The sequence below is a fragment of the Homo sapiens genome, chromosome 2 (assembly GCF_000001405.40).
Source record: "Homo sapiens chromosome 2, GRCh38.p14 Primary Assembly".
Taxonomy (NCBI): Eukaryota; Metazoa; Chordata; class Mammalia; order Primates; family Hominidae; genus Homo; species Homo sapiens.
Window position 1 is genome coordinate 60,123,939 of NC_000002.12, and position 11,048 is coordinate 60,134,986.

The 11,048-nt window shown below is 39.7% G+C and overlaps 1 annotated feature.

Annotated features, from left to right (window-relative positions):
- Window positions 1,441-2,529: an enhancer, noted in NCBI's record as "VISTA enhancer hs779". NCBI's record gives its function as "enhancer in: midbrain (mesencephalon)[8/9] | forebrain[5/9]" and the evidence as "EXISTENCE:transgenic organism evidence [ECO:0001131][PMID:17130149]".

Below are 11,048 nucleotides of genomic sequence, written 5' to 3' on the forward strand. Positions count from 1 at the left end.
ATTGAATCCTTTCCAATCATGGGACTGTGTCGGCTCCCTCAAACGAAGCTCTGTGCCATAAATTTGATGCTGGGAATGAACATGAGATGATACATGGTTTCTCTGTTTGTTTCTTAAAATGTTTTCTAATGCTATATCATATTTAAAATAAAAACTAGGGAATCTCATGTTTAAAGTAGTTATTTTATACAAAATGCTAGAGCAGCACCACATTTTTCTCCTATACAGCAATCTGGTAACTTAACTTAACTTACACCAGATTACCTGTGTAACAATATCAAACAGCGCCCTGTAGTTTTTACAGTGAGTTCAGTGGAGCCATGAGGATCTGCATAGTTAGGGGTGGAGGCTGCTGAGTTGACAGGGATCTGGACCTCCACTTCCAGATCACTAGAGATCACCCCTACTTGAGATCACCAGATAGGGCTAGCCATGGTAGCTCATTGTGTCCTTGGTAAAGTATTTAACCACATGTGGCCTATGTTTCCTCATCTGCAAAGTGAGGAGGATGGACCATGATTTGCAAGGTCGCTCAAAGCCCAGATATCTTCTAGTCAGACAATTAAAAGAGAAACAAACTCAACTTTACCCTTTCCACTCAGTAACACAGATCTAAATTGATAAATTAAGCTACAAAAAGGTAATGCTTTCAAAATTCCAAAGCATTCGCATTATAAGTTAAATGATTTTTTACTACTTTTTTTCCTGATTTACTAAAGAGTTGAAAATACACTGCAACTATGTGTGACAGGCACTGGACCAGGTGCTTTACCTATAGCGTCTCAGTTAATCTGAGCACCTGGATAGACAGAGGCAGGAACCAACACAAGATGAAGGCTGTAGGTGCCACATACTGGGCTGGATGAGTTACTCGAATTACCTCGCAAGGAGTGTATCAACATCCAGTGTACACGCTAAGATGTCAAGTACGAAGCAAGCACAGTCACAATTCAAAGGCAGGTCTGACAGTTTCAAAAGCCCATAATCTTTTCTTAAACTGCCTGCACCAAGTCAGAAGAGTTGGCCCATAGTGAGAGCTTTGCAGAAACAACATAACATTGAGCAGAAACTTCCTGTCTGCAGGCCTCGATGTTCTCACAATGAAATCCTTTAGGCTAAGCCTCAAAGTTCTCCAAGGGCCTTACAGCTCTAAAATTCAATGATTATCTGGTCAGTGCAACAACCAAAGAAAGAAAACATACTAAGTATCTGTGAAGCAGGGTTCATCTCTATGTCTAATTGGATTTCATTGCTATCTGAGTTCTTATCTCCTGGTTCATTCCCTTGTCCACACCCCCACCCCACAATAACAGATGATCACCAGGGATTTGGATACTGCAGAATAATTCAAATTAGTGGAATAGATATTGCATGGTAATATACTTCACCATAAAAAAGGTGAGCAACCAGCTTATGGAAGCTTCCAAATCAAATGACTTATTTCTCTTCTCACAGCTAATCAACAAGGGCTCAAGGGACAGTTATTTGTTGATCTTTGAGTGTAGGGTGATGTCCTATCTGACCCTTTCAATTCAGACATCTACCAAAAGACTTGAGAAGTTATTGTATTTCTGGGACTTTTCTTTGTTTAAAAAAAAGTGCAGGAAGATATTCAGCGGAATAAAAGAGAAGCATTGACGTTTCCATTGGTAATCTGGTCCGTGTGTTCCCTGCTACTGAGCATTTTCAGAAGGCCTGACTGTCTGGGTTAATTGTTTAATGCTTTTAGTTAGAATTAAACTTTGCACCTGCTCTGACAGTGATAAATTAAATGTGCTCCTTTTCCAATACTGTTGCCCTCTTTAAGTAGAGACCAAGAAGTGTATCTCCCTTCTTCCCCTGCGTTTGAGGAATCTCTGCTACACTGGAGTGTAAACCAGCATAATTTGTCACCAGAGCTAGCGCCAATTAAATTGATTGCGTCGGACTGAACTCTGGGACCCCTAATGCAAGCACTAAGGGAAAAATGGGCTCTTTTCTGCCCATTCCCCCATGTGGCACTTAGGCATAGCTCAACAGTGGAAGGCTTTCAAGGTTCAAAAGGGTTTTATTTTCAAAAGAAATGGGCATTGATCAGCTGCATTTAAAGGCAAAGATAATTCCAGAGCTTGAAGGCTGGATTTGTGTTTAAGGTCTAAATCTCTTTCTTTAACCTTGGGGGGCCAGTATAACATAAAAGCAACAAAGAGATTAAGATTACAAAGGGTTTGCAAGTGTAAATGATGCGGTGGTATTCTCCAAACATAACACAGTCCCCATTCACAAGCCCAGGCACAGGCCAGCATTTGATCTGTTGGTTTTACACCTGTAAAAACAACTTGTGTTTATTTGTCACTCAGCAAACCGTTTTGGGCAAGAGGGGAGAAAAAAGGAAAGTGGAGGAGGAGTGAACTTGCTCATACCACAGAGTTCAAACGCCTTCCCCAAACCAACTGAAAAATAAACATGGTAAAGGTCAGCGTGGCAGACAAAATCAGAAAATCCCCACTCTTTGTCAGCGTAGCACACACCACACAGGAATACGAGAAGTGGGACACTGTTTCAAACCTCAGTTGTTTTCCTCATTATCCCAGCTCCTGATGCTTGGGTCTGTTATGCCACATCCTTCCAAGGGAGGTTGTAAACAAGCTGTAAGCTAATTCCAGCCCCTTCTTGTTCCTTTATTTATAGGCTACCAACTATGCATTCCTCCCTCTTGCCTTTTAGTTCAGTTTCCCACAATCAGTCCTGTAGAATGGCACCATTTGAATAATCTCACATATAAATCAAGTCTACCAAGTTAGTGACTCGGACTTCAAGTTAGTTGATTCTATCACCACACATGGTGAAACCAACACAAGTGTGCCAATTCTCTCAAGTTCATATATCATTCTTCATCTATTCTTTCATAACGTGTATCTCCCTCGGCAACATAGATCTTCTCACATTCACTCTATCCCCTAGTTCTTCTTTTCACAAACTGAAGCCTTCTCAGGGACCTCAAGCCTTCATTGCTAAACCAGGTGGCAACAATGGAGTCTTCTACTTTAAAGAAAGGAGAAAGGAACTGATGCTTATGGAGGTTTCCAAAGCCAGATTACACATCTGAGAACTCTGAGAAGGTTGGCAGTTTGGCATGAATACAGGTGGTTAAGAATTCAAGGCTCCTTTAAACTCATAGTCTTTAAAAGCAAACAAATAAGAGTTCATCATTTATTTAGGAGAGAAGCTATGCACCAATCAGAAGGAAATAGAAAGGGATGATTCAAGTGGCAGTTCCCTATTCTCCCTAGCTTCTTGAGGAGTTCAGCTCTGGTCCCAAACTTGCATACTCTACCCAAAAAACAAAAGACCTATAAGGTAGTGACATCTAGTAATTATTGAATATGATTTTTGACAGTCTGATTCTCTTTCCAATAATTTGGTCATATTTCTCCTAACCCTATTATTGCATAATCTCCTCTGATAATTCTCCGTTTTTATAAAGTCCTATCTTCTTACATTTTCAAGGATGCTTTGCTATGCCAGTGATGTATTAGAGTCTTCTATTAGTTTTCTATATTGTGTAATAAATTATGATCAACAGCGTGGTTCAAAACAATACCCATTTGTTATCTCACAGTTCCTGTCCAACAGAAGTCTGAGTATGGGTTAGCTGAGTCCTCTGCTCAGGGTCTCATCAGACTAAAATCAAGGCTTCAACAGGGCTGCAATCTTATCCAAGCCTCGAGGTACTCTTTCAGGCTCACTAGTTTACTGGCAGGATTCACTTACTTCAGTTTCTGGTTTCTTACTGGCTGTTGGATTGGTCTCACTCTCAGCTACCAGAGCCACCCTCCTATTCTTGCTCTGTGGCCTTTTCATAGGCAGTTCACAGTGCTGTTTGCTTCCTGAAAACAACAAGAGAATCTCTCTGACTCCTTTTAAGAGTCTGCCTGTTTAGGTCAAAGCCACCCAGGATAATATCCCTTTTGATTAGCTCAAACTCAACTGATTAGGGACCTTAATTGCATCTGCCAAACATCTTCACCTTTGCCATATAGCATAACCTAATCATGAGAGTGATGCCTTTTATATTCATATTTCCTGCCTACACTCAGGAGAGGCTTATACGTTGCATGTACACCAGGGGTAAAGAATCTTGGGGCCATTTTAGAATTGTGCCTATCACAGGCACCCTTAAAAAGAGATACCCCAGGCTGGCTGTTGACCTAGCTGTTGCTCCAAGCATTGTATTGGAAGTGCTACATACCTGGCACTTCTCTCTAGAAATTCTGCTCTGCTAAGATTTTCATTTGTTTATGAATTCACAAAAGAGCCACTGGCATGGGAGAGTTTTGTGAATGATAAAGGCACCTAAAAGCCAGACAGAGAAAGAAAAAGAAAGGAAGGAAGGAAGGAAGGGAGGGAGGGAGGGAGGGAGGGAGGGAGGGAAAGTTTTCTCTTTTCTAGTTTACTGTGTTTTTATTGAGTTATAAGAGAAAATATGTGACATGTCTGTTAATGACAAAAAAGAAACGCATCCCTCTGATATGAAGGAATGTTGGTCCTTATTACTGCTACCAGATTATCCTTCCCAAAACACAACTTTCAACCAGTCAGTCTCCTATTCAGTGACTGCCAATAGCATCCCATATTATACCACATCAAGCCAAATTGCCACATCAATTTTATTTTTCTCAGCCTGGCACTCAAAAGCCTTCTATAGACTGACCCTACTACTTAACAAACTAGATTTCCCAAAACTGCTTAACACAATTCCTATAAGTTTTTCCTGTTCCACAAGCAAAAATGCTGATTTCTTCTGCCATAGTTAGCCTATGTACATGCTTTACCTACCTTCTTACCTACCAACACCATTCTGCTTAATTCTCTTATTGCATTCCCCCATCTACAGTAGACTAGGAACTCAAGGCAGATTCATTCTCACGTGCTCCAGGAAAATTTTGCAAACCAACTTGAACCTCCTAGCTTTATCCTCCAAATTACTGATTTTACAGTCCAAATTGAATTTAGCCCTCATTGTGTATCTTTTCTAGTTTTTTGCTCCATATATCTTGTATCCTAAGATAGTTCTTTGTGTGCTCCAGAACAGGTTTTTTGTTTTTGTTTTTCCAACCATCTGAGTAATATTTTCTTTTATTTACTTTTTAGTTGTATAAAGTTATGGGGTACATGTGCAATTTTGTTACATGTATAGATCACATACATCTTTTAATAGTAAGATTTGAAATCAATTTAGTAGACTGAACCAGAATTTGTTAATTGAAATAGTTGAACAGGAAAGGGGAGGGAAGGTCAGTATTTTAGATATAGCAAGGATGTCTGGTTTTGTGAAATTTTTGGTTTTAATATGTATTTGTGTCCATGTATAAACTAAAACATAAATGTGTGATGTTACTGTGTGGTATTGTATAATTACATAAAATGTATTGGTATTTTGTAATATTGAAAGACAGTTTTTAAAGCACTTGAATGCCTTGAAAAAAAGCAAAACTTCATGGCTGAAGTTCATGCAAAAATCAGGCAGGGTCAGAAAGACACCAAAGGTTTCCACAGGAAATCAGACACCCAGAAGCCCTAAACCAAATAAAGTACAGTGCCTTTGCCATCATGGAGGCAGATCTTGTGTCCGTACAGTCTACTGATACAAGGAATGATAATTAGTAATATTGACATCATTTTCTCATTTGCAAAGGGGTTTCACATTTTTTATGTCACCAGCACTTCCATAGGGCCAGCGAAGCAGACATTTCTTATGATTCCCATTTTTGAAATGGGAAGCTTGTGACTGGGCACGGTAGCTAATTCCTGTAATCCCAGTGCTTTGGGAGGCCAAGGTGGGAGAATCACTTGAGCCCAGGAGATTGAGGCCAACCTGGACAACATAGTGAGACTTCATCTCTACAAAAAACTTGAAAATTAGCCCGGAGTGGTGGCATGCACCTGTAGTCCTAGCTACTCAGAAGGCTGAGGTGAGGGGATCACTTGAGCCCAGGAGTTTGAGGCTGCACTGAGCTGTGATTGCACCACTGCCCTCTAGCCTGGGTGACAGAGTAAGAGCTCAAAAACTTAAAAAAAAATAAGAGTTTGAGAGGTTAGGTGGCTTGACCAAGGCCATATAGTAGGTAGGTCAATGTTAGAAAATGAACTCAAATCTTCTGACATGCACCCCAAGTTCTTTCCTCTATGTACTTGGAAAATCATAGACCGATCCATCTAAATCCTTCCCACTGTTTTGTTGTGGTTGTTGTTGTTGTTTTGTTTTTTTAATTATACTTTAAGTTCTAGGGTACATGTGCACAACTTGCAGGTTTGTTACGTACGTATACATGTGCTATGTTGGTTTGCTGCACCCATTAACTCGTCATTTACATTACGTATTTCTCCTAATGCTATCCGTCCCCCATCCCCCCACCCCATGACAGGCCCCAGTGTGTGATGTTCCCCTTCCTGTGTCCAGTTGTTCTCATTTTTCAATTCCTACCTGAGTGAGAACATGCGGTGTTTGGTTTTCTGTCCTTGCAATAGTTTGCTGAGAATCATGGTTTCCAGCTTCATCCATGTCCCTACAAAGGGCATGAATTCATCCTTTTTTATGGCTGCATAGTATTCTATGGTGTGTATGTGCCACATTTTCTTAATCCAGTCTATCATTGATGGACATTTGGGTTGGTTCCAAGTCTTTGCTCTTGTGAATAATGCCACAATAAACATACATGTGCATGTGTCTTTATAGTAGCATGATTTATAATCCTTTGGGTATATACCCAGTAATGGGATGGCTGGGTCAAATGATATTTCTAGTTCTAGATCCCTGAGGAATGGCCACACTGACTTCCACAAGGGTTGAACTAGTTTACAGTCCCACCAACAGTGTAAAAGTGTTCCTATTTCTCCACATCCTCTCCAGCACCTGTTGTTTCCTGACTTTTTAATGATTGCCATTCTAACTGGTGTGAGATGGTATCTCATTGTGGTTTTGATTTGCATTTCTCTGATGACCACTGATGATGAGCATTTTTCATGTGTCTTTTGGCTGCATAAATGTCTTCTTTTGAGAAGTGTCTGTTCATATCCTTTGCCCACTTTTTGATGGGGTTATTTGATATTTTCTTGTAAATTCGTTTAAGTTCTTTGGAGATTCTGGTTATTAGCACATTGTCAGATGGGTAGATTGCAAAAATTTTCTCCCATTCTGTAGATTGCTTGTTCACCCTGATGGTAGTTTCTTTTGCTGTGCAGAAGCTCTTTAGTTTAATTAGATCCCATTTGTCAGTTTTGGCTTTTGTTGCCATTGCTTTTGGTGTTTTATTCATGAAGCCCTTGCCCATGCCTATGTCCTGAATGGTATTGCCTACGTTTTCTTCTAGGGTTTTTATGGTTTAGGTCTAACATTTAGGACTTTAATCCATCTTGAATTAATTTTTGTATAAGGTGGAAGTAAGGGATCCAGTTTCAGCTTTCTGCATATGGCTAGCCAGTTTTCCCAGCACCTTTATTTATTTAAAGGGAATTTAGTAAATAGGGAATCCTTTCCCCATTTCTTGTTTTTGTCAGGTTTGTCAGAGATCAGATGGTTGTAGATGTGTTGTGTTATTTCTGAGGGCTCTGTTCTGTTCCATTGGTCTATCTCTCTGTTTTGGTACCAGTACCATGCTGTTTTGGTTACTGTAGCCTTGTAGTATAGTTTGAAGTCAGGTAGTGTGATGCCTCCAGCTTTGTTCCTTTGGCTTAGGATTGTCTTGGCAATGCAGGCTCTTTTTTGGTTCCATATGAACTTTAAAGTAGTTTTTTCCAATTCTGTGAAGAAAGTCATTGGCAGCTTGATGGGGATGGCATTGAATCCATAAATTACCTTGGGCAGTATGGCCATTTTCAAGCTCTTCATTCTTCCTACCCATGAGCATGGAATTTTCTTCCATTTGTTTGTGTCCTCTTTTACTTCGTTGAGCAGTGGTTTGTAGTTCTCCTTGAAGAGGTCCTTCACATCCCTTGTAGGTTGGATTCCTAGGTATTTTATTCTCTTTGAAGCAATTGTGAATGGGAGTTCACTCATGATTTGACTCTCTGTTTGTCTGTTATTGGTGTATAAGAATGCTTGTGATTTTTGCACATTGATTTTTGTCTCCTGAGATTTTGCTGAGGTTGCTTATCAGCTTAAGGAGATTTTGGGCTGAGACGATGGGTTTTCTAAATATACAATCATGTCATCTGCAAACAGGGACAATTTGACGTCCTCTTTTCCGAATTAAATACTCTTTATTTCTTTCTCTTGCCTGATTGCCCTGGCCAGAACTTCCAACACTACATTTAATAGGAGTGGTGAGAGAGGGCATCCCTGTCTTGTGCCGGTTTTCAAAGGGAATGCTTCCAGTTTTTACCCATTCAGTATGATATTGGTTGTGGGTGTGTCATAAATAGCTCTTGTTATTTTGAGATACATTCCATCAATACCTAGTTTATTCAGAGTTTTTAGCATGAAGCGCTGTTGAATTTTGTCGAAGGCCTTTTCTGCATCTATTAAGATAATCATGTGGTTTTTGTCATTGGTTCTGTTTATGTAATGGATTATGTTTATTGATTTGCATATGTTGAACCAGCCTTGCATCCCAGGGGTGAAGCCAATTTGATCTTGGCGGATAAGCTTTTTGATGTGCTGCTGGATTCGTTTTGCCAGTATTTTATTGAGGATTTTCGCATTGATGTTCATCAGGGATATTGGTCTAAAATTCTCTTTTTTTATTGTGTCCCTGCCAGGCTTTGGTATCAGGATGATGCTGGCCTCATACAATGAGTTAGGGAGGATTCCCTCTTTTCCTATTGATTGGAATAGTTTCAGAAGGAATGGTATCAGCTCCTCTTTGTACCTCTGGTAGAATTTGGCTGTGAATCCGTTTGATCCTGGGATTTTTTTGGTTGGTAAGCTATTAATTATCGCCTCAATTTCAGAGCCTGTTATTGGTCTATTCAGAGATTCAACTTCTTCCTGGTTTAGTCTTGGGAGGGTGTATGTGTCAAAGAATTTATCCATTTCTTCTAGATTTTCTAGTTTACTTGCATAGAGGTGTTTACAGTATTCTCTGATGGTAGTTTGTATTTCTGTGGGATCAGTGGTGATATCCCCTTTATCATTTTTTATTGCATCTATTTGATTCTTCTCTGTTTTCTTCTTTATTAGTCTTGCTATCAGTCTATCAATTTTGTTGATCTTTTCAAAAAATAAACCAGCTCCTGGATTCACTGATTTTTTGAAGCGTTTGTATCTCTATCTCCTTCAGTTCTGCTCTAATCTTAGTTATTTCTTGCCTTCTGCTAGCTTTTGAATTTGTTTGCTCTTGCTTCTCTAGTTCTTTTAATTGTAATGTTAGGGTGTCAATTTTAGATCTTTCCTGCTTTCTCTTGTGGGCATTTAGTGCTATAAATTTCCCTCTACACACTGCTTTAAATGTGTCCCAGAGATTCTGGTATGTTGTGTCTTTGTTCACATTGGTTTCAAAGAACATCTTTATTTCTGCCTTCATTTCGTTATGTACCCACTAGTCATTCAGGAGCAGGTTGTTCAGTTTCCATGTAGTTGTGCAGTTTTGAGTGAGTTTCTTTATCCTGAGTTCTAATTTGATTTCACTGTAGTCTGAGAGACAGTTTGTTGTGATTTCTGTTCTTTTACATTTGCTGAGGAGAGCTTTACTTCAAACTACGTGGTCAATTTTGGAATAAGTGTGATGTGGTGCTGAGAAGAATGTATATTCTGTTGATTTGGGGTGGAGAGTTCTGTAGATTTCTATTAGGTCTGCTTGGTGCAGAGCTGAGTTCAAGTCCTGGATATCCTTGTTAACCTTCTGTCTCATTGATCTGCCTAATATTGACAGTGGGGTATTAAAGTCTCCCAATATTATTGTGTGGGAGTCTAAGTCTCTTTGTAGGTCTCTAAGGACTTCCTTTATGACTCTGGATGCTCCTGTATTGGGTGCATACATATTTAGGATAGTTAGCTCTTCTTGTTTAATTGATCCCTTTACCATTATGTAATGGCCTTCTTTGTCTCTTTTGATCTTTGTTTGTTTAAAGTCTGCTTTATCAGAGATTAGGATTGCAACCCCTACTTTTTTTTTGCTTTCCATTTGCTTGGTAGATCTTCCCCCATCCCTTTATTATGAGTCTAGGTGTGTCTCTGCATGTGAGATGGGCCTCCTGAATACAGCATGGTGATGGGTCTTGACTCTTTATCCAATTTGCCAGTCTGTGTCTTTTAATTGGGGCATTTAGCCCATTTATATTTAAGGTTAATATTGTTATGTGTGAATTTGATCCTGTCATGATGATGTTAGCTGGTTATTTTGCCCGTTAGTTGATGCAGTTTCTTCCTAGCCTCGATTGTCTTTACAATTTGGCATGTTTTTGCAGTGGCTGGTACTGGTTGTTCCTTTCCATGTTTAGTGCCTCCTTCAGGAGCTCTTGTAAGGCAGGCCTGGTGGTGACAAAATCCCCCAGCATTTGCTTGTCTGTAAAGTATTTTATTTCTCCTTCACTTATGAAGCTTAGTTTGGCGGGACATGAAATTCTGGGTTGAAAGTTCTTTTCTTTAAGAATGTTGAATATTGGCCCCCACTCTCTGCTGGCTTGTAGAGTTTCTGCCGAGAGATCCACTGTTAGTCTGATGGGCTTCCTTTTGAAGGTAACCTGACCTTTCTTTCTGGCTGCCCTTAACATGTTTTCCTTCATTTCAACCTCAGTGAATCTGATAATTATGTGTCTTGGGGTTGCTCTTCTTGAGGAGTACCTTTGTGGTGTTCTCTGTATTTCCTGAATTGGAATATTGGCCTGCCTTGCTAGGTTGGGGAAGTTCTCCTGGATAATATCCTGAAGAGTGTTTTCTAACTTGGTTCCATTCTCCCCATCACTTCCAGGTACACCAATCAAACGTAAATTCGGTCTTTTCACATAGTCCCATATTTCTTGGAGGTTTTGTTCATTTCTTTTTACTCCTTTTTCTCTAAACTTCTCTTCTCATTTCATTTCATTAATTTGATCTTCAATCACTGATACCCTTTCTTCCACTTGATCAA